Source organism: Homo sapiens, chromosome 9, assembly GCF_000001405.40.
Source record: "Homo sapiens chromosome 9, GRCh38.p14 Primary Assembly".
In the NCBI taxonomy this organism is placed as follows: Eukaryota; Metazoa; Chordata; class Mammalia; order Primates; family Hominidae; genus Homo; species Homo sapiens.
The window spans coordinates 36,475,143-36,498,914 of NC_000009.12; the positions used below are offsets into that span (position 1 = coordinate 36,475,143).

The 23,772-nt window shown below is 46.2% G+C and overlaps 1 protein-coding gene across 7 annotated transcripts in view, besides 3 other annotated features; it reads right to left on the bottom strand.

Moving 5' to 3' along the window:
* RNF38 (ring finger protein 38) overlaps positions 1–12,527 on the bottom strand; it is a 151,270-nt gene extending 138,743 nt beyond the window's left edge. For 3 of the 7 annotated variants that reach the window (XM_047422796.1, XM_047422795.1, XM_047422794.1), the window contains exon 1: positions 12,166–12,527. In XM_047422796.1, coding sequence (XP_047278752.1) covers positions 12,166–12,418 — 253 coding nt within the window. In that variant the 5' untranslated portion in view covers positions 12,419–12,527. Of the gene's footprint in view, positions 1–11,968; positions 12,080–12,165 lie in introns of those variants that run through there. The other 4 variants (XM_017014296.2, XM_011517712.3, XM_017014297.2 and 1 more) reach the window with 4 other exon arrangements.
* Positions 7,426–7,605: a silencer, noted in NCBI's record as "fragment chr9:36482565-36482744 (GRCh37/hg19 assembly coordinates)". NCBI's record gives its function as "represses an EF-1alpha promoter that drives an FKBP-Casp9 reporter gene in an ReSE screen in K562 erythroleukemia cells {active_cell/tissue: K562}" and the evidence as "EXISTENCE:reporter gene assay evidence [ECO:0000049][PMID:32094911]".
* Positions 11,624–12,253: a silencer, noted in NCBI's record as "silent region_19894". NCBI's record gives its function as "represses an Ori minimal core promoter by ATAC-STARR-seq in GM12878 lymphoblastoid cells {active_cell/tissue: GM12878}" and the evidence as "EXISTENCE:reporter gene assay evidence [ECO:0000049][PMID:35858748]".
* Positions 12,364–12,943: a silencer, noted in NCBI's record as "silent region_19895". NCBI's record gives its function as "represses an Ori minimal core promoter by ATAC-STARR-seq in GM12878 lymphoblastoid cells {active_cell/tissue: GM12878}" and the evidence as "EXISTENCE:reporter gene assay evidence [ECO:0000049][PMID:35858748]".

The window sequence follows — 23,772 nt, forward strand, 5'->3', positions numbered from 1 at the left end:
CTCAAAAAAAAAAAAAAAAAAATCTTATTACTATTAATGCAATTGTGATGTTTTTGCAATCCCAAAAATGCATTTGTTCTGCTAACACTGTCATGATCTATCATTGAACTGATGCATATCTGAATTATCTCTGAAATCCTCACTGTGTCTAGTACATAGTAAGCATTCAACAAATGTTTACCAAATTATTATTAATATTAGTAATTATTAATCATTATCTTTTTGTGTGTGTGTAAGACAGAGTCTCCCTCTGTCACCCAGGCTGGAGTGGAGTGGCATCATCTCAGCTCCTGCAACCTCCATCTCCTGGGTTCAAGCAATTCTCCTGCCTCAGCCTCCCAAGGAGCTGGGATTACAGGCGCCCACCACCACACCTGGCTAAGTTTTTGTATTTTTAGTAGAGGCAGGTTTTCACCATGTTGGCCAGGCTGGTCTCGAACTCCTGACCTCAGATGATCCGCCACCTTGGCCTCCCAAAGTGCCGGGATTACAGGCGTGAGCCACCATGACCGGCCTCAAATCATTATTTTTTAGTGGCCAACAGAGAGCAGTAAAATAGAGACAGGGGTTAATTCCCTAAAGAAATATAAACTAGCCGGGTGCGGTGGCTCACGCCTGTAATCCCAGCACTTTGGGAGGCCGAGGCAGGCGGATCACACGGTCAGGAGTTCGAGACCAACCTGGCCAATATGGGGAAAGCCCATCTCTACTAAAAATACAAAAATTAGCTAGGCATGGTGGCTGTAGTCCCAGCTACTCTGGAGGCTGAAGCAGGACAATTGCTTGAACCCAGGAGGTGGAAGTTGCAGTAGGCCGAGATAATGCCACTGTACTCCAGCCTGGGTGACAGAGCGGGACTCTGTTTCCAAAAAAAAAAAAAAAAAGAAAGAAATATAAATTATAAATGAGGCAAATAACCTAGATAATAGTTTACAATTAAGCTAAAATAAGTCATTGCTAATCAACATACTTAACTAAAACAGGTTTTTGTTTTGTTTTTGAGACTGAGTCTCGCTCAGCCACCCAGGCTAGAGTGCAGTGGCGTGATCTCGACTCACTGCAACCATGGTCTCCCGGGTTCAAATGAGTCTCCCGTCTCCCCCATAACTAGGATTACAGGCACCCGCCATCATGCCTGGCTAATTTTTGTATTTTAGTAGAGACGGGGTTTCCCCTTGGCCAAGCTGGTCTTGAACTGACCTCAGGTGATCCGCCCGCCTCAGCCTCCCAAAGTGCTAGGATTATAGGCATGAGCCACCCCACCCAGCCAAACCTTGTGTATTTTATTAAAGTCTCATAAAATGTAGCTGTCAAATTGGTACAGCCTTTTCAAAGGATTATTTGGGCAATATCTTTTTAATGGACTATCGGGCAATCTTTTTTTTTTTTTTTTTTTTTGAGATGGAGTTTAGCTCTTGTTGCCCAGGCTGGAGCGCGATGGCATGGTCTTGGCTCACTGCAACCTCCGCCTCCTGGGTTCCAGTGATTCTCCTGCCTCAGCCTCCCAAGTAGCTGGGATTACAGGCGCCCACCACCATGCCCGGCTAACTTTTTTTTGTATTTTTAGTAGAAACCGGATTTCACCATGTTGGCCAGGCTGGTCTCGAACTCCTGACCTCAGGTGATCCACCCACTCTGGCCTCCCAAAGTCCTGGGATTATAGCTGTTTCCTAATCCAGGACAAAATTATGCTGGCGGGTAAGAATAAAGGTCTAACTCCTAACTTGACTCCAAGTAATTAGAGGAAAGGACAGCTTACAGTAGCCATAGGTTTCCATGGAGTACACACTATCTACCTGTACACCATAGACGTAAATGCTAATTACAGCAACAAAAAGGGCCACCCTTATCCTGAGAATGGACTCCTGAAGTTTACAGTCTTAAAGTCTAAAGATTATTGGCCAGGCGCGATGGATCACGCCTGTAATCCCAGCACTTTGGGGGGCTGAGGCAGGTGGATCACAAGGTCAGGAGTTCAAGACCAGCCTGGTCAAGATGGTGAAACCCCATCTCTACTAAAAATACAAAAAAATTAGCCGGGCGTGGTGGTGGGCGCCTGTAATTCCAGCCACTCGGGAGGCTGAGGCAGAGAACTGCTTGAACCTGGGAGGCAGAGGTTGCAGTGAGCCAAGATCACACCACTGCACTCCAGCCTGGGTGACAGAGCAAGACTCGTCTGGAAAAAAAAAAAAAAAGATTACCTTGCAATCAACTCTTTGGTGCATTTCTTACAAAATACAACAACAAAACAGGCTGGGCATGGTCACTCATGCCTATAATCCCAGCACTTTAGGAGGCCAAGGTGGGAGGATCACTTGAGCCCAGGAGTTCGAGACCAGCCTAGGCAACATTGTGAAACCTCCATGTCACAAAAAAGTTTAAAAGGTTAGTGTAGTTGGCCGGGTACTGTGGCTCACACCTGTAATCCCAACACTTTGGGAGGCTGAGGCAGGCGGATCACGAGGTCAGGAGATCGAGACCAACCTGGCTAACATGGTGAAACCCCCATCCCTACTAAAAAATACAAAAAATTAGCCGGGCGTGGTGGGGGGCGCCTGTAGTCCCAGCTACAGGGAGGCTGAGGCAGGAGAATGGCGTGAACCTGGGAGGTGGAGCTTGCAGTGAGCTGAGATCGCACCACCGCACTCCAGCCTGGGCGACAGAGGGAGACTCTGTCTCAAAAAAAAAAAAAAAGAAAGAAAAAAGGATAGCGTAGTTGTCACACTCATTGTCCCAGCTACTCAGGAGGCTGAGGTGGAAGGACTGCTTGAGCCTGGGAGATGGAAGCTGCAGTGAGCTATGATTACCACTGCCACTGCACTCCAGAGTGGGCAACAAAGCAAGACCTTGTCTCAAAAAACAAAAAACAAACAAACAGAAAACAGCAGTTTGAGATACCAAGTAATACAGTAATAATTAACATATTAAGAAGAAAATTTTCACTAAAAGATTGCCAACAAGACTTCTTAGAAGCACATCATGACGTAGAATGGTTGATATAAGTGTTTATTACCAGGCGTGGTAGCTCACGCCTGTAATCCCAGCACTTTGGGAGGCTGAGACCATTCTGGCTAACATGGTGAAACCCCATCTCTACTAAAAATACAAAAAATTACCCGGGCGTGGTAGCGGGCATCTGTAGTCCCAGCTACTCGGGAGGCTGAGGCAGGAGAATGGCGTGAACCTGGGAGGCGGAGCTTGCAGTGAGCCGAGATCACGCCACTGCACTCCAGCCTGGGGGAGAGAGCGAGACTCCGTCTCAAAAAAAAAAAAAAAAAAAAGAGAGCGTTTATTAAGCATACATCCCCAGATAAACTGATTTTTTTTCTGGTAGCAATAGGGAGAAATCACTTCGCAAAAATGTAAGTATTTAAAAAAAAAAAAAAAAAGATTGGCCGGGCACGGTGGCTCATACTTGTAATCCCAGCACTCTGGGAGGCCGAGGAGGGTAGATCATCTGAGGTCAGGAGTTCGAGACCAGCCTGACCAACATGAAGAAACCCCGTCGCTACTAAAAATACAAAATTAGCCAGGCGTGGTGGCTCATGCCTGTAATTCCAGCTACTCGGGAGGCTAAGGCAGGAGAATGGCTTGAACCCAGAAGGCGGAGGTTGCGGTGAGCCGAGATGGCGCCACTGCACTCCAGCCTGGGCAACAAGAGTGAAACGCTGTCTCAAAAAAAAAAAAAAAAAAAAGATTAGTGGGCGCATCCCTGGGAGAGTAAGCAAGTTATGTATTCGGCTTTTGTGGGCAATCAATCATTCTGGTAACACAAACATAAGGCAAAGTAGACCCAGATTTCTATATATTTTCCTCTAAAGTACTTTTAAGTTACAATTTCAGACTTAAAGAGAAAGGTTCCAAGCTCAGTCTTGTCCTTTTTTAAAGCTGCAAGTATTATAATTTAAAACTCTGAAATGTATTCACTTAAACACGTTCCTGTCACTATTAACAACAACGCTCCATTATCCACTTTTGGTACTGTCTCCAGATGATTTTTAATCCCTGCCTGACTTCTCCCTACCAACAAGTACTTGGATACCATCTTTACCCCGCCTGCCCCCACTACTTGGTTGTGCCTAGGGAATTATAATTACAGCAATCCCGCCTTTAGAACATCCTCAGAGCACAAAGCTTCTTTGTATAATGGTGGAGGGAGGGTGCCCTCCAGGCTCCACAGAAAAGAGTGGGTGGTAGCAACAGAGGAAGAGGAACTGGAGCCACTATGGTGGCCCTCAGTTCTAGTTCAATATCGTTTGTGGGAATTTACTTGTAATGACCAGCCAGGGTTCTGTTGAGCTTCTGCATCTCCTCCCATGTGGGGGTGGAGAGAAGCAGGGCTTATCTTGGCAGATGGGCACAATCACCATGCCCAGAAGACCAGGGAGCAGAAGGAAGCAAGAAATTTGGGAGAAAAGCAAGCAATAACTGTCTTGAATTGCACCCCTCTATGCGATTCTCAAGACCTTAAGTGAGGAAGTTTTGACAACAAAAGCTATCATCCTAATTAACCAGTGGTTGGTATTGGCATTACTGGCACTCAGTAGATGCTCAAAGATGTATTGAGGTGGCAATAAAAATCTACATAGGAAGACAAATCTATAAAAAAAAAAGTTTTAATAAGATAGCACAAAAGCCAAATGAAAAATACTTTTTATTAATTATGAGTCCCAGCCGGGCATAGTGGCTCATTCCTGTAGTAATCCTAGCACTTAGGGAAGTCAAGGCAGGAGGATTACTTGAGCTCAGGAGTTCAAGACCACCATGGGCAACATAGCAAGACCCTGTCTCTTTAAGTATGAGTTCCAACTTTTCTCTATCTGTAAATGTGAATTTTTATTTTTTTATTTTTTTGAGATGGAGTCTCACTCTGTCGCCCAGGCTGGAGTGCAGTGGCGTGATTTCGGCTTACTGCAAGCTACACCTCCCAGGTTCAAGTGATTCTCCTGTCTCAGCCTCCCGAGTAGCTGGGCCTACAGGTTCACACCACCACACCCAGCTAAGTTTTGTATTTTTAGTAGAGACAGAGTTTCACCATGTTGCTCAGGCTGGTCTCAAACTCTTGAGCTCAAGTGATCCACCTACCTCAGCCTCCCAAAGTGCTGAGATTACAGACGTGAGCCACTGCGACTGGCCCTGTAAATGTGATTATTAAATGAATACCTGTTTTACTTTCTGCCTACTCTACTTCTGTTTAGTCTGAGAAACTGCTCACTTTTTAGTTCTCTGACAATAAAACAAATTTCAACAGAAGGTCAGCATGCAGCATCTGCAGCCACTAAAATCCAAGGTGCAGAAGCAGAATGGACAGCCAACTTTTCAACTCCAAGAACATCCCAAAAGCACTACAAATTGTCCTACTACCTAACTGCTTGCTATTCTATGTATACAGTTTTTTTCTTTTTCTTTTTTTTTTTTTTTTTTTTTGAGACAGGGTCTCACTCTGTTCCCCAGGCTGGAGGGCAGTGGCACCATCTCAACTCACTGCAATCTCCGCCTCCCAGGCTCAAGCGATTCTCGTGCCTCAGCCTCTCAAGCAGCTGAAATTACAGGCAAGTGCCACCACACCCAGCTAATTTTTGTATTTTTAGTAAAGACAGGGTTTCACCATGTTGCCCAGGCTGGTCTCAAACTCGAGCTCAAGTTATCCACCCGCCTTGGCCTCCCAAAGTGCTGGGATTACAGGGGTGAGCCGCCACGCCCGGCCCCTTCCATGTATATATTTGGTCCTCTTACTACTACTTCCCTACATTTCTCAACAAAGTCAAAGGATCAGTATATACACCAAAACTCACAATATCTCACTCTCTTATTTCTATACATATTTTACCACAAAAGCAGAAAATGCAGTGATAGCTTTTTTTCTTCTCTTTCTTTTTTTTTTTTTTTTGAGACAGAGTCTTGCTCTGTCACCCAGGCTGGAGTGCAATGGTGCAATCTCGGCTCATTGCAACCTCCGCCTCCTGGGTTCAAGCGATTCTCCTGCTTCAGCCTCTCAAGTAGCTGAGATTACACGTGCGTGCCACCACGCCCAGCTAATTTTTGTATTTTTAGTAGAGGCAGGGTTTCACCATGTTGGTCAGGCTGGTCTCAAACTCCTGAGCTCAGGTGATCCACCCGCCTCGACCTCCCAAAGTGCTGGGATTACAGGCATGAGCCACCACACCAGCTAGTGATAGCTTTTGATAGCGTAACTATTGATAAACCCCAATATACTCCCATCATTCTACTCTTCCACCTGTCCAACATCACTGCAGTTAACTGTTCTCAGCAGTCCCAAGAACAGCGCTAATATCCATTTAAGTAGAACAGGAAAAAAACTGAAACCAGTCTGGGTAAGGCCTGCAGGTAAGAATTGTTTATTTCCCTTCTGTGGGCAAAAGACCACTTTTGTTAAACATCTTTAGTTTTTTAACATATAATTTCTTTCAAAAAATTACTCCAAGACAGCAGCATAAGCAAATTGAAACTTCCTATCCCACCACCCTCAATCATGTTTAAAAATAATAATAAAAAAGACAACAGAAACCACTTCAAATGTATCTTTCCCTTGAGCCCCCAGAACAGCATTCATCCACGACAACTGTCCTGAAAAACTCTGCCATTATTTCCAAAAGCAGTAGGAAGTCCGGTCTTGTCCTTGGTTTGTACTCCCCCCTCCTCTCTCTCCAAGAAAAAATGAAACAGCAGGAAGCGTAAACAACCACTTAATGGAAAATACAAATGGGTAAATATTTTCAAAATTAGCTAAAAAGCCTCAGGTCTTCAGGAATGCTAGTGCAGGGGGAAATAGGAAGAGAAAAATAACTGCATTTACCCCTTCAAGTGAGCACTGTAAGAAGACAAGCGCAAATGTGGCACATAGGTACTATACTTTCTCTCCTCCATTTACCAGATACTTTTGTCTTTTTTTTTTTTTTTTTTTTTTGAGACGAAGTTTCGCTCTTGTTGCCCAGGCTGGAGTGCAATGGTGCAATCTCAGCTTACAGCAACCTCTGCCTCCTGGGTTCAAGCGATTCTCCTGCCTCAGCCTCCCAAGTAGCTGGGATTATAGGCATGTGCCACCACGCCTGGCTAATTTTGTATTTTTAGTAGAAACAGGCTTTCTCCACGTTGGCCAGGCTGGTCTCGAACTCCTGACCTCAGGTGATCCGCCCACCTCGGCCTCCCAAAGTGCTGGGATTACAGGTGTGAGCCACTGTGCCCAGACCTTTTTTTTTTTTTTTTTGAGACAGAGTCTCACTCTGTTGCCCAGGCTGGAGTGCAGTGGCGTGATCTCAGCTCACTGCAACCTCCACCTCCCGGGTTCAAGCGATTCTCCTGCCTCAGCCTCCAAAGTAGCTGGGATTACAGGCATGCGCCACCATGCCCAGCTAATTTTTCTATTGTTAGTAGAGACGGGGTTTCACCATGTTGGCCAGGCTGGTCTTGAACTCCTGACCTCAGGTGATCCACCCACCTCGGCCTCCCAAAGTGCTGGGATTATAAGCGTGAGCCACTGCGCCAGGCTGACAGTGGTATTTTCTAAATAGCTTATTCTGTACATATTTCTCCAGCCTCATAACAAAGTTTACTATTTTAAGCTGTGCTCTTTGGTTCAGCTGAGCATGGTGATGAAAAGCCCCTTCCCATGAAAAGTTCACATGGAGAACTCTTGAAGCCCCTAGGGCAAGCACTAACCCAGACCTCATGGTAAAGCCCACAATGCATATGGATGAAACTGTTAGTTACAGCTGGACTGACAGTTCCAAAGCTGCAGAGCAGTGCTAGATCACAGATCACCTTTGCGTGGATTAGAAAAGGTGCCCCTTCTCTGAGTGCACACAGTTCCACACCAGGTACTCATCTTGGTAAGTGGAGTACAGAATAGATTTCCACCCTCACTTGCCACCTGAAACAGGTATCCTTTTGCTGGGTGCAATCTCTATGGTCCTACACAGCAGCACCGTTAAGAAGTGTACCGGCCAGGCACGGCTGTTCACGCGTGTAATCCCAACACTTTGGAAGGCCGAGGCAGGCTGATCACAGAGGTCAGGAGTTTGAGACCAGCCTGGCCAACATGGTGAAACCCCGTCTCTACTAAAAATATGAAAATTATCCGGGCATGGTGGCAGGCACCTGTAATCCCAGCTACTCGAGAGGCTGAGGCAGGAGAATCGCTTGAACCTGGGAGGTGGAGGCTGCAGTGAGCCGAGATTGCGCCACTGCACTCCAGCCTGGGCAACAAGAGCGAAACTCTGTCTCAAAAAAAAAGAAAAGCGTACCTGGGCAATGCTGCACCTCCAAAGTGGGTTTCCAGATAGAGGAACCTTAACAAAGACAAACAGGCACTTCACAAATTTCACTATCAGAAAGCCTCAGATTTGTTAACATAAATTCATTCATAAACACATCAGGACTAAGGAAGAAAGGTCTAGTAGAGAAGGAAAACTAGCAAATTTTGGAGAAAGGACACTCTTCCATCTTGAGGGATAATCAGTTGTCTCCTAAAGACCTTAATCTCTGACCATAGGTTCAGACGGCTGAACCTCAAATGTTGGTCACAAGCTAAAACAATCACTAGCATCTGCAGAGGGATGGATCATCTTTCTCTTAAGACATAATGACATGTTTACCTTTGGGGGTTTTACTTTCTCCAAATTTTCCTTCTCTGCTAGACCCTTTTTGCCCTTACTTTGAAACCACATACAGTTGACACATGTGTTAAAATCTGTAAAACCTGATAAACAACCCTGGTAGGTAGTGGGCCCCTTAGCTAACTCCATGAAAATCAGAGGAATGGACAACCTAGATTAAGAGGGGTATGGCATCCAACCCTATCATTCTTTTATGCTCCACAAAAGAGGTAAAGTATCACGTGGGTCAAAATTCCATCCCAGTCATCCAGGAGTGGGAACAGAGGGGCAGCCTAAGGAAAAGATGAGGACTAGGCTGGGGCAAACCCAAGATAGTGGTTCTCAAACTTTAGTGGGCATCCCAATCTACTGGGGAGTTTTCTCAGAATCAGATGTCTGGGTCCCTCCCTACACCTGATATATCAGAATGTCCTGGAGCACATCTATTTCAACAAAGCTCAAACTGCTGACACAGGTCCAATAGAAAGTTTAGAAATAATGAGAAATCTACCGCAACTATCAGCAGTTCCAAAATAAAAGTCATCCACTGCAAAACTAGGTTTAGCAGGTCAGAAAGGGGCGAAAAAGGATCACCAGCCTGCATGTCTAACAGGCTGCGCTAGGCTGGAGCCTGTAGGAGAGGTCCATTATTATGAAACAAAAACTGTGTTCTATAAACAAAATTTTTGTGTGAGAAATATTTCAAACATCTGAAAAATATTTAGAGTATACTAAATATCTCTATACCCTACACCCAACATTACCAAATCTTAATTTACGATTACCTGATTCAGATTTTTTTTAAGTAATAGGACATTAAAGGTATAAATAAAGCCCTTTTGGGTACCCTTGTGTAATCCCATTCCTCATCTTCTCTTCCCAAAGACAATCATTACACTTAATATGCATAATTTAATACTATCACCACATATGGGCATAGCCACAAACAATATTATTTTTCATGTTTTCAGATTTTACACACGTGAAACGATTCTGTAAGAATTCTTCTGACTTGCTTCCCTGTTCCATATGGTTTTTGAGATTCACCTATTTTAATGAGTGAGGCTAGTTTATTTTTCACAGCTGTAATATTCAACTGTATGGGTCTATCTAAAAATGTATGTATTGGCCGGGCGCGGTGGCTCACGCCTGTAATCCCAGCACTTTGGGAGGCAGAGGCGGGCAGATCACGAGGTCAGGAGATCGAGACCATCCTGGCTAACACGATGAAACCCCGTCTCTACTAAAAATACAAAAAAAAATTAGCCGGGCATGGTGGCGGGCGCCTGTGGTCCCAGCTACTCGGGAGGCTGAGGCAGGAGAATGGTGTGAACCAGGGAGGCGGAGCTTGCAGTGAGGCGAGATCACGCCACTGCACTCCAGCCTGGGTGACAGAGAGACTCCGTCTCAAAACAAACGAACAAACAAATAAATAATAAATAAAAATATATGTAGTCTTCTGTTGGTGGACATTTAAGCTGGAATGAGCATTCTTGTATTTTTTTCATACTTATTTTCTTGAACAAGTGTACAAGGATCTCTTAGGGTATATATACACACACACACCCAGAAATGGACATTTTAGGTAAATGAATATGTCTGCCCACCTTCACACTAAACACCAAATACCACTACTCTCTAAGGTGGTTGGATCCATTTACATTTCCACTACACTATATACAAGCTTATCTATCCACAACCTTAATAATCCTCGGTTTATCACAGCACTACATTTTTGCCAACCTGATCGGTGTGAAATGTCATCTCAGTGTTGTTTCAATTTGCATTTCCCTGATTGTAAGTCTCTCACAAGTACATTTTCTTGCTTTTAAGTATACATTTGCCAAATATGTGTGTCTTAGAGTTTTTTAGGAAAATCTAACCCATCTTGTCTGAATTGGGGCAGTCCTTCCCAAAGCACCCTGCCAACAGCCACCACAGCAGGAAAGCTAAGGTGCAAGAGGGCAGCAAGAAAACAGCTGACTTAAACAAGGAATCATCTTGGACAAAGGGCCTTAATTAATGCATTTGTTAATTAGTCTTTCCCTTCCCTCTTTTGTCAAGCCTTACTTCCAAGACAATACTCCAGGCCCTGTGGGTCTGCATCCTTAGAACAAGAGCGAGAATGAGGGGGAGGGGGTGCTCAAGCTAGAACGTTTCTATAAAAGTATAGCTGTCCTTACTAAAAGAAAATAAGTGACTGCAGACCAATTCACACTCAACCTTGTAAGCTACCATCCACCTCCAACAGACTCCTTTCAAACTCATCACGTTTGGCACCTTCTTTGAAACATCCCAATCTTTTTCTCCAGACTAGACACCGTCCCCCGCCCTTCAGCAACCCTTTCATCTCCCTTCCCCCACAATGACTGAATACCCTCTCCTTTTTCCCCATTCTATTTTCTAGCTCCACGGGACCCTCGTCCCTGCCTGTAACACGTTGCTCTCTCCCTTCCCTCTAGAACTGCAAGTCCTTTCCCCTTCCAAGGGACATCCGCAGTCAAAACAACCCACCTCATCATCCACCCCAAATAAAAACGGAAATCCCATGTATTACATGCCAGGCAGGCGGGTGACTCGGTCCCAATCCTCCCAGCTTCCTTCCCCCTTCAAGCCTGGGATAGCTGTTCTTTCTCGGGGAGTTCTCCAAGTGTGGTAGGTCCAAACCACCTGGAAAAAACTCACATGGCCTTCTGTGCCGTAAACGTCTTTACCAAGGCCATGTATGCATTTCTGGTTTCGGCATGAACGAAATTCGGGCCATTTACTGAAAAAAGACACCTTACGGGCGCCTCCACAAAAGCGGGCAGGCCTCCCTCCCAGTAATTCCAGCTGAATTGGTTTAGTCAGTGCAGTGGTGGGGAAGGTGGCCTGGCAGAGACCAAACGGTCCCCACGATAAGAAGTTTCCGAAGCTCTGCCCCACTCACTCAAGAAAGCCCTCTCCCCGAGAGCACACCCCGCACAGAAGTCTTTCCCGCTGCGGCTCCCCAGGGCACCACCAAGCTCCCAAGTCGGCCCCCTGCTCTTCCGTCCCACCCCGTAAGAGATCATTACTCCCAAACCAGCCCAAAAAGGGCTGGGTGGGTGTGCCAGGGTCCAGGGCCTGACCCCCTCCCCCGAGATCTGTCTCCCTCGGCTCCTGGGGGCCGGGGGATCGACCTCTTCCCAGCCCCCTCTGCTCGGGGCCCGCGCCGGCCCAGGGTGGCCCTGGGTCCCAGCCAAGCTACGGCTCTCATTGGCTATGTGACCTTGGGCAAGTCACTTCCCCCTCTAAGCCTCGGTTTCCTCCTCCGCCGAGCAGAGACCTAGAGAGGTCCTGCCCTGCACACCCTGGGGGAGGGGGCTACCCACCGGGTGGGAAAACGCTTTGTGAGCGCTCGGCGCGGCTGAGGCGCAGGGCTCGCAGGGGCTCCGGGGCCGGACAAAGCTGACCCGGACAACGCTCCTCCCCGTCGGCGGGGCCGGGCGCCTGGACCACACGCCTCCGGCCCCCACCCGCGGGACCGACCCACGCCCCTCCCTGCCTGGCCCGCTCCGGGACCCCGTACCTGCTCCCGGCGCTCGGCCGCAGGCGCCGCCACCCTGGGCTCCCGCCCGGAGAGGCCCGTGGCCCGGAGGGCTGAGGCGGTCCGTGGCGGCGGGCTCCGGCCGGGGCGGCGGCGGTGGGGGGCGCGGGCGGCGCGGGGGCCCAAGCTCGGCGGGGCCCGGCCTGGGAGACGACGACTGAGGCTGAAAGTGCGCGGCGGCGGCGGCTGCTGAGGCGGCGGCGGCAGCGACCGCGGCGGCCGCGCTTCCGCTCATGGCGGGGCCGCGAGCAGCGGCTCCGGCTGCGACTCGACTCCGGCGCGGCAGGCGCTGGCTGGGCCCCGGCCGGCAGCAGCGGTGGCGGCGACGGAGGCGGCTCCCGAAGGGGGAGGAGGCGGAGCCGGGAAGCGGCGGCGGCGGCGGAGGGGGCGGGGACGTGGAGGGGGCGGGGACGCCGAGCCGCGGCCGCCAATGGGCGCGGGGCTCCTCAGCCGCGGCTCCGGGGGCGGGAGGGCGGCGCCGAGGGGTATCCTCAGTCTCCGCCGCTCCCTGAGAAGGGGAGGCAGAGCGCGGGCCACCCGCCGGGAGAGCCCTGCTGCAGGGGCTGCCCCGCCCCAGGCCCGCCCCTGAGGCGCGGCCGCGGGCCTCTGGGGCCAGGCCTCGCGCGACCCAGGCTGGGGCTGCGCTTGGGCTCCGCTGCGCAGGGGTTCGCGCCCGCGAGGGGGCCGGAACTCGGCCCAGATAGCTACTGCTCGCAGCCCGCCTGCCAGACTCCCTCCTCCGCTTCCCCGCACTGGAGACGCAGCCTCCTCTCCCCTCCTCTGCCTCTCTTGGCTGTTTCCTCAAAGTTTTTCCCTTTCAGACACTTAGGAAAGAAACTCTCCCTTCTGTTCTTAGGCTGCGTTTCAGTGATAAATTAGTCCCCGCGGACCCAGAGAGAACAGCAGAGGCAGAAACGAAAGAGATGGAAACGAGCTGCAGTCCCTGAGTCCCCGAGACCATCTTGAATGCTGAGCAGGAACCAGCCAGGCTCAGCCCTGGCCCCTCGCCCCTTTCTCTGACTTTCTCACTTTACATGCCCTTGTTGTTAGAAGACTTAGATAGAAACATCCAGCCCAGCTGGGCCTAGTCTCAAAAGATGGGGAGGGTGTGAGGTAAGGAAAGGCTTTTGACCTGTCCCAACGGCTTTCCTGTGAGGGGAAGAATTCTGCGAGTTGGTGACCCCCTTTGGGCCCTCCTCCACTTGGATGTGATGTTGGTCACTGAAACCGTTTCCTCCTCATGTTTGTCTGGCTCTCATTTCAAAGCCGTAGAGGAGCAAAATAAACAACCATGTGTTAGGGGTACCTCTAAAGTGCAGGCACGTGGGTGGGCCAGGGTGCAGCTAAACTGCTGAGTGGATCATTTCAATAAAACCTTATCCTCAGCCATTCTCCACTGAGCAGAGAGAGAAAGAGCTCTATTTGAATCTTTGACAACAGACATTTCAAATTCCATGCTGACACTTAATAGGTGCCTGATCTTTCATTCGTGCTGGTCTTTCTGTCATCAGCAATGCTAGACACTGGGAATACAAGAATAAAAAAGATACAGTCGAGGCCTTCAAAGAGTTTACAATCTCATTGGAGGACAGTGAGATATTTTTAGAAGTTAAAAACTTACGGATGAGCAGGAGTTCACCAAGGGGGGCAGGTTGGGGGAAAGTGGACTGGGAAAACATTAAGATTGTATTTGGCCAGGGGACGTAAGATTTTCTGAATCCCATCCTTGACTTTTTGGTCACAGAGGAAGCAGGTAGTATATTACTTGCTGGAGCTTGGGTCCCAGTGCCCACTGTAGAACACCTGTCAACTACTGCACGGAGGCACCTTCTTTCCTCCGATAGGTCTCAGCAGCCTTGAGCAACATTGGATCTATTTCTGTGCCAAAGTCCAAACCCCAGTTTCAGCTCTTAAAACCCCAATTTGAGCAAATGCCTTGACCACCAGCCCTAGAAGAGAACGGACAGATGAGCAGTTTAATCCAGTAACCAAAGGAGCCCATCCAAGGATGCCTTGAGGCCAGGAAGAAACAGGAAGAAATAAAGGGAGAGGACCAGGCAAAGCCTTGGGCCACCTCACCTTGCCAGTTTAGGGAAACAAAATAAAGAATGGACCACATTCATGTTGGTTGCGATCTTTAGCTCTTAACTTTGCGTCCCCCAATGATGATCAGGAAGAGAGATGAGCATTGGGGTTTAGGCAACGACAGGTTTAATAGGACTGGAGTACAGCCCGGGTGATGAGTGATAAGAAAAGAACAGACTGGAATTTAGTTAAGACAAGACCAAATCATGAAGAGTCTTGAGTGCCACATTGAGGAATTTGAACTTAACCTGAATAACAAAAGTGAGCCATTGAGCACATAATGAGGAAATGATGTGATTAGATCGTATTTCGGAAAAACTCTGGCTGCTGTGTAGAAAATGGATTGGAGGGTGCTATGGTTTGAATATTTGTCCCTTGCAAAACTCATGTTGAAATTTAATCCCCAGGCCGGGCACAGTGGCTCACGCCTGTAATCCCAGCATTTTGGGAGGCCGAGGCGGGGGGATCACCTGAGGTCAGGAGTTCAAGACCAGCCTGGCCAACATGGTGAAACCCCATCTCTACTAAAAATACAAAAATTAGCCGGGCGTGGTGGCACACCCCTGTGATCCCAGCTACTCGGAAGGCTGAGGCAGGAGAGTTGCTTGAGCCTGGGAGGCAGAGGTTGCAGTGAGCCGAGATCGTGCCACTGCACTCCAGCCTGGCTGACAAAGCGAGATTCTGTCTCAAATAAATAAATAAATAAATAATAAAAATAAAAAATTTAATCGCCAATATGGTAGTATTGAGAGACGGAGCGTTTAAGAGGTGATTGGTAGAGCCCTCATGAATGTATTGATCCATACATGGATTAATGGGCTATCATGGGAATGGGACTGGCCTTTATAAGAAGAAAAGAGACCTGAGCAAGGATGTTAAGCCCTTTCACCACGTGATGCCCTGTGCCACCTCAGGACTGTGCAGAGTCCCTAGCAGCAAGAAAACCCTCACGAAATGTAGCCTATCAACCTCAGACTTCTCAGACTTTGCAACTGTAAGAAATACATTCCTTTTCTTTATATATTGCCTAGTTTCAGTTATTGTGTTATATATAAATAAGCAACAGAAAACAGCCTAAGATAGAGGAGAACCAAAAGAGAAGAAAACTGGCTAAAAAGTTTTAGGCATGGGGTGAAAGTGACCTGAACTAAAGCAGAGATAGCAGGAATAGAGAGATTTTAAGGTGGTAGAATCAACAAGGCTTGAGGAAGATGAGATTGATTCAAGGATAACAAAGATTTTTCACTTGGACAACTGAGTGACGGTGGTGCCATTCCTGAAAATATTAACAGATAATACAGAGAACTATGAAGAGCAGAGAACTATGACCCCGGTTAAATCAGATTATTTCTGTGACTCTCCACATAAAGCAGAAGGGCTGAAGCAATTGGACTAGAGTCACCACTATACAATTACTAATGTCCTCTGAGATGGGGATCCAAAGATATGCAAAGGAGAGGCACAATAGAAGGATTGCCCATTCCTTTTTTTCCATTAAAAAAAATTGTGGGCCAGGTGCAGTGGCTCACACCTGTAATCCCAGCACTTTGGGAGGCTGAGGTGGGCAGATCACCTGAGGTCGGGAGTTCGAGACCAGCCTGACCAACATGGAGAAACCCCGTCTCTACTAAAAATACAAAATTAGCTGGGCGCGGTGGCGCGTGCCTGTAATCCCAGCTACTCAGCAGGCTGAGGTAGGAGAATCTCTTGAAACCGGGAGGCGGAGGTTGCGGTGAGCCAAGATCGCGCCATTACACTCCAGCCTGGGCAACAAAAGCGAAACTCCATCTCAAAAAAAATAAATAAATAAAAAATAAATAAATTGTGGTAAAATATATTATGTAAAATTTATTATTTTAACCATTTTCAAGTGTATAATTGTAATTTCAAGTGGCATTAACTATATTCACAATGAATTAGCTGGGCTTGGTGGTGGGCACCTGTAATCCCAGCTCCTCAGGAATCTGAGGCAGATAATTGAATTGCTTGAACCCAGAAGGTGGAGGTTGCAGTGAGCTGAGATCGCACCACTGCACTCCAGCCAGAGTCAGGCGACAGAGCGAGACTCTGTCTCAAAAAAAAAAAAGAAAGAAAGAAAGAAAGAAAACTGTATTCACAATGTTGTAAAACCATCACCACTATCCGTTTCCAGAACATCTTCATCACCATCCCAGACAGAAACCCATTAAATAACTTTCAGTTCCCTCCTCCCCTCAGCCCCTGGTATGTCTATTCTACTTTCTGTCTCTACAGATTTGATTATTCTAGATACCTAATGCAAGTGGAACCATACAATATTTGTCTTTTTGTGTCTTTCTGGCTTATTTCACTCGCATAATGTTTACAAGGTTTATTCATGTGACAGTATGTATTAGAATTTCCTTCCTTTTTGTTTTATTTTTATTTATTTTTGTTTTAATTATTTTATTTTTATTTATTTTGGCAACAAGAGTATTGCTGTTTTTGCCAAGGCTGGGATGCAATGGCGCAATCTCAGCTTACCGCAAGCTCCACCTACCAGGTTCAAATGAGTCTCCTACCTCAGCCTCCTGAGTAGCTGGGATTACAGGCATACGCCACCACACCTGGTTAATTTTTTGTACTTTTTGTAGAAACAGGGTTTCTCCATGTTGGTCAGGCTGGTCTTGAACTCCCAACCTCAGGTAATCCGCCTGCCTCGGCCTCCCAGAGTGCTAGGATTACAGGCGTGAGCCACCAAGCCTGGCCTTACTGCTTTTAGTTCTTTTGAGTATATACCTAGGAGAAGAATTACCGCATCATAATGGTAACTCTGTGCTTAACTTTTTGAGCACCAGACTGTTTTCTATAGGGGCTGCACCATTTTTGCATTCCCACCAGCAATGCATAAGGGTTCTAATTTATCCACAGTCTTGCCAACACTTGTTATTCCACCCCCACCCCTACCTTTTTCTTCATAATAGCCTTCCTAATGGATGTGAAGTGGTATCTCATTGTAGTTCTGATTCGCACTCCCTATTTCACTTTCAAGCTTAGCACAATGTCTGTTTACTTGTATTTGCCCCAGCCTGGCTTGTAAATCATTATTTTATTTGGGGGTTAATGAGGGAGTGGAGGAGAGAAATTGTAAGAAAATACTGAAGGGGCGCCGGGTGCGGTGGCTCAAGCCTGTAATCCCAGCACTTTGGGAAGCCGAGGTGGGCGGATCACGAGGTCAGGAGATCGAGACCATCCTGGCTAACACGGTGAAACCCCGTCTCTACTAAAAATACAAAAAATTAGCCGGGCGTGGTGGTGGTGGTCGCCTGTAGTCCCAGCTACTCAGGAGGCTGAGGCAGGAGAATGGCGTGAACCCGGGAGGCGGAGCTTGCAGTGAGCCGAGATCGTGCCACTGCACCACAACCTGGGCGACAGAGCAAGACTCCGGTCTCGAAAAGAAAAGAAAAGAAAAGAAAATACTGAAGGGGCTATTTCATGAAAAACGATAAGACAATGATAGACCTAATAGCATATAAAACCAGAAGAGGAGCAAGATGGTATTTCAGAGTATTACAGAGTAATACTTTGCAGCCTTAGCAACTGAAGGAATCCAGATAAGGTAGACCCAATGGAATTTGTAACCATGCTCAGCAAAGGAAGTGAAAATAGCAATGCCAAGTGGAAGGGGCTGAGGCAGGAGATGAAATGAACCACCAATACCACATGACTACTTTCCTTCACAAACACATCACAAGCACATGTGAGACAACTATATGGTTTCCCTGAAATGCTTGGGGATGTAAATTGCAGGGTGAGAGCCAGAGCGAAAGAAAACATGCTGAGCATTTTTCCTCACTATTATCACATTAATAAACATTAGTTTCTATTTCCTTAGGCCACATTCCTAAAGGTGGAATTGCTAATTCAATGTTTTGAAAAGTTCTAATTTCCAGAGAGATCATAGCAATTTATTTGTTTAATCATTTATTTTTATTTAAATATAAGGGATTGAATTGGTCATATTTCTCACTTGTAAGGCCACTCTCATTTGTTATATTTATTTATTCTCTTTTATTCACATTCACTAATCTCATTCCCCTTTCTCACCACAGGCAATTATTCCGATGTGTTTCATGTATATCCTTTTGTTTGTGTTTATTTAAAATATGTAGTATTGGGCTGGACATGGTGGCTGACGCCTGTAATCCCAGCACTTTGGGAGGCCAAGGCAGGCAGATCACTTGAGGTCAAGACTTTGAGACCAGCCTGGCTAACATGGTGAAACCCCGTCTCTGCTAAAAATACAAAAATTAGCTGGGCGTGGTGGTGCACGCCTGTAATTCCAGCTACCCAGGAGGCTGAGACACCAAAATCCCTTGAACCCGGCAGGTGGAGGTTGCAGTGAGCTGAGATTGCACCATTGCACTCCAGCCTGGGTGACGTAATGACACTCTTTCAAAACAAAACCAAAACCAAAACCTCCCAACAAAGAGATTTTTCAAAAAAAAAAAAATAGTAGTAGGATAAAATATGTACTATTTTCTTAGATGTGTGTATTTTTTTCTTTTGTAAATAACATTGTAAGACACATTTTTTTTTCTTATTTTTCTTTTTTGCTGCAGCATGTTTTTAAGATCTGGCCCATTGCTTCTATCTACTGCATATTACTCCACCCATCACATTTTGCCTAAGGTCTTCTTCATTAGGGACACCCAAATTGCCTACAACCAAAAACATCACTGCCATAACTGTCTTTATACATACCCCTTATAGAACCTGTGTGAGAATTTTAGGAGGGTTGTATATATAGTATCAGAATTGGAATTTTATATTTTTTTCTCTGTTATATAGTTTTTGCTTTCATATTTTTATTATTGGTAAGGATAAATGTGTGTGTGTGGTGTGTGTGTGTGTGTGTGTGTGTGTGTTTCTTCAACCACAGTATTCTAGGAATTTTCTGATCACATCCTTAGCCCTATCCTCTATGGCTTCTTTAAAGACTAATTGAGTCTGTAATTGATTGTAATACATTGAATAAATGTAATGCATGAGTCCATAATGATGCTCAAAGAGCAAGAAAAGAGAAAGGAGGAAAAAATTCATTTGCCACTATTGGAAATACTATGACACCAACTCCTTTGTCAGGAAATTGGTAATTAAAGAGAAAGAATGAAGCATTTAACCTGCCATTTTAGGAAGAAATGAGGTTCATCCCCAATTGATGAGAGGAAATTCTTCTTTACAGAAGAATGTCATCTAATAAATGTAGAAGGATTGATAGAATTAAAAACTTACCATTTTGCAATCTCCAATGAGATAATTGATTCAAGCAAGGATCATCAGTGAATGTTAAACTATTTAAAAAGAAAGAAAAAAGACCAATCTACCATTGTATCTATTTCCCACCATTCACTTGCTCTACAAACACTTCCAATTTGACTTCTGCTCCTACCATTCTATTAACTACATGCTTGAAAGACAATGCTGGCTTCTCAATTGCCAAATACAATGGTCTTTTCTCAGTTCTCATCCTCCATGATCTCTTCATGGTATTTGACAATAGCAGCCACCTCCTCTTTCTTGTAACTCTCTCCTTTCATCTACAAAAGACTGGCTATCCATTGCTGTATAACAAACCACTCTAATATATTTAGAGGCTTTTAAAAATTTATTGTTATTTTTCATGGTTCTGTGGGTAGACTAGGCTCAGTTGGGTGGTTCTCACTTGGGATCTCTGATGTTTCAGTAAATGGTGTCTAGGGCTGGACTCATCTGAAAGCTTGACTGGGCTAGACATCCAGGAAGGCTTCTTCACTCACTTGTCTGGCATCTCGAAAGGATGGCTGGAACAGCTGGAGGTTAATAGGGCAACTCTCTGTCTCCATGTGACTGGCTTGGGCTCCCTAACAGCATGGTAGACTCAATATAGTGAAGATTAAACTCTGATTTTTTAGTTTGTCCAAATTCCTACCTAAGGGCCCTGGGGACTCATGCCCTACAAACCATAAAGTCTCATCAGAGGGGTTTTCATTTTAACTCTGTATAGTGTGGTCTGTTTTCTAACCTGACTCTGGCATAACATCACATAACAAATAAGGGAAGAAATCAAAATATTTTAACCCTAAATATAATTCCTTGCCATATCTTGACATTGCCCTGAAAAGTTGTCTCTTGTGGGAAAAATCCACATTCCATAGAGAAACCCCTTTCCCGTTTTTTTCCTTCCTTCATTTCCAGATCCAGGAGATAATCAACTAAGAGCCAGGCACCCTTTTACATCGGATAAGAAACATTTTACAACCTGTTCTTTCTGAAGTCTGCTATCTGAGAGCTTCCTCTGCACAATAAAACTTGTCTCCACAATCCTAACCTAAACATTTCCTTTCTGTTGATCCCAGGTCTTCAGATAAACTCAACCAATTATCAACTGGAAAATATTTAAATCTACCTATAGCCTGGAAGGCCCCCCCTCCGCCAAAAACCAATGTACATCTTAAATGTATTTCATTGATGTTTCCTGTCTCCCAAAAATGTATAAAACCAGGCTGTGCCCTAACCACCTCAGACTTTTATACATTTTTGGAAGACAGGAAACATCAGGTCTCAGGATCTCCTGAGGGCTGTGTCACAGGCCACGGTCACTCATATTTGGCCCAGAATAAATCTCAAAATATTTTACAGAGTTTGACTCTTTTCATCGACAATAGATAAGACTTCTTACATAGTGCCTGGCTTTCCCCAGAGCAAGTGTTCCCAGGTGGAAACTGCAAGGCTTCTTAAGAGACAATTCATGCTCTTTCTCACCCAATATGCATCATCTACTATTTTCAGCATTGGTTTCTTTAGAGGGGGAAAAAGAACTGAAAGACTTTTCCAAAGCTGAGTGTAAAATCCATCTATGTTTTTATTGTTTCATTTCTATTTTTTTTTTTTTTTTGAGTGTCTGTCACCCAGGCTGGAGTGCAGTGGCGCGATCTCGGCTCACTGCAAGGTCCGCCTCCCGGGTTCACACCATTCTCCAGACTCACCCTCCCCAGTAGCTGGGACTACAGGCACCTGCCACTATGCCCAGCTAATTTTTTTTTTTTTTGAGACAGAGTTTCGCTCTTGTTGCCCGAGCTGGAGTGCAATGGCGTGATCTCAGCTCACCACAACCTCCACCTCCCAGGTTCAAGCGATTCTCCTGCCTCAGCCTCTCTAGTATCTGGGATTACAGGTATGTGCCACCATGCCCGGCTAATTTTGTATTTTTAGTAGAGATGGGGTTTCTCCATGTTGGTCAGGCTGGTCTCAAACTCCCAACCTCAGGTGATCCGCCCGCCTCGGCCTCCCAAAGTGCTGGGATTACAGGCATGAGCCACTGTGCCCAGCCTAATTTTTTATATATATATTTTTTAGTAGAGACGGGATTTTACCGTGTTAGCCAGGATGGTCTCGATCTTCTGACCTTGTGATCTGCCGGCCTCGGCCTCCCCAAGTGCTGGGATTACAGGCATGAGCCACCACGCGCAGCCTATTATTTCATTTCTAATGATGTGTCTATCCATATCTAACCCCAAAGCAATTTTTAAAAGAAGTTTTTGTAGAGATGGGGTCTCACTGTGCTGCCCATGCTGGTCTCAAACTCCTGGCCTCGAGTGATTCTCCCCCGTCAGCCTCTCAAAGTGCTGGGATTACAGGCGTATACCACCACACCTGGCCCCCAAAGCAATTTTGAAATACCTTTATCGGCCGGGTGCAGTGGCTCTCGCCTGTAATCCTAGCACCTTGGGAGGCAGAGGCGGGCAGATCACCTGAGGTCAGAAGTTTGAGAACAGCCTGACCGACATGAAGAAACCCCATCTCTACTAAAAATACAAAATTAGCCGGGCGTGGTGGCGCATGCCTGTAATCCCAGCTACTCCAGAGGCTGAGGCAGGAGAATCACTTGAACCCGGTGAGCCGAGATCATGCCATTGCCCTCCAGCCTGGGCAACAAGAGTGAAACTCCATCTCAAAAAAAAGAAATACCTTTATCAAGTCTTTCAAAACATTTAGCTGAATTTTCATAGAAGCAGGAACAATCTTTACACTTGCACTTGTGTTTCCACAGTTTACTTAATATTTAATTATGTAATGTAATTTCTGTAATAAATAAAACTAACACAAACAGATTTGTGGAGAAACTTCTCAATTGGTAGGCTCAGTAAGTCCCAGAAACTAGTTTACCAGCTATGAGCATTCAGTGCACATGGGTGTAAATTAGTATATTTTACAGACGGAATAGAGGGCATTGGTTAATACAATTAATCGGTTAAAAGAGTTTCTAATGTATCTTTTTTGAACCTTTTGAATTGGAAGTACATAAACCACTTTAAGAAACATAGACTCGGCTGGGTGCAGTGTCTCACACCTGTAGTCCTAGCAATTTGGGAGGCCGAGGCAGGCGAATCACTTGAGGCCAGGAATTTGAGACCAGCATGGCCAACATGGTAAAACCCCGTTTCTAGTAAAAATACAAAAATTATGAGGGCGTGGTGGCATATGCTTGTAATTCCAGCTACTTGGGAAGCTGAGGCACGAGACTCACTTGAACCCAGGAGACAGAGGTTGCAATGAGCCAAGATGGCACCACTGCACTCCAGGCTGGGCAACAGAGCGAGACTCGGTCTCAAAAAAAAAAAAAGAAAAAAAGAAACAGGCTGTATTGGCTTTCATAATCCAAAGCCTGGGGTGGATCTGGCATGACTTGATTCAGGGACTTGAATGATGTGTCAGCTCCCAATCTTCCTCTGTCTCTCAGCTGTGCTTACCACCATGTTGGTTTCATACTAGACTCCATGCAGTGATGAGACAGTGATGGCAGCTCCTGGCACAGAAGAGAAAACACGTAACCCTCTCAGCAATCCTAACAAAAAGTCTCACTACTTTGTATCAGCTAAGATTGGGTATATGCTTGCTTACCTTATACTGATCTGTGACCAGGGAGATGTGATGACCTGAGTGACTTAGGATTGAGTCCCATGCCTCTCTGAAGCCCTTTCTAACCCCTGGACTGAGAAGAATTGCCTTGGAGCATTCCAGCTTGCTATTATATAAGTTGATTTTTTTTTTTTTTTGAGACGGAGTCTTGCTCTGTCACCCAGGCTAGAGTGCAGTGGTGCGATCTCGGCTCACTGCAACCTCTGCCTCCCAGGTTCAAGCGATTCTCCTGCCTTAGCTCCCGAGTAGCTGGGATTACAGGCACCCACCACCTTGCCTGGCTCTTTTTTTTTTGTATTTTTAGCAGGGACGGGGTTTCACCATCTTGGCCAGGCTGGTCTCGAACTCCTGACCTCAAGCAATCCACCCGCCTCGGCCTCCAAAGTGCTGGGATTACAGGCGTGAGCCACTGTGCCCAGCCTTAGAAATTCTTTTTTTGTTTGTTTGAGACAGAGTCTTGCTCTGTTGCCCAGGCTGGAGTGTAGTGGCTTGATCTCAGCTCAATGCACCTCCACCTCCCGGGTTCAAGCGATTCTCCTGCCCCAGCCTCCCGAGTAGCTGAGACTATAGGCATGCATCACCACT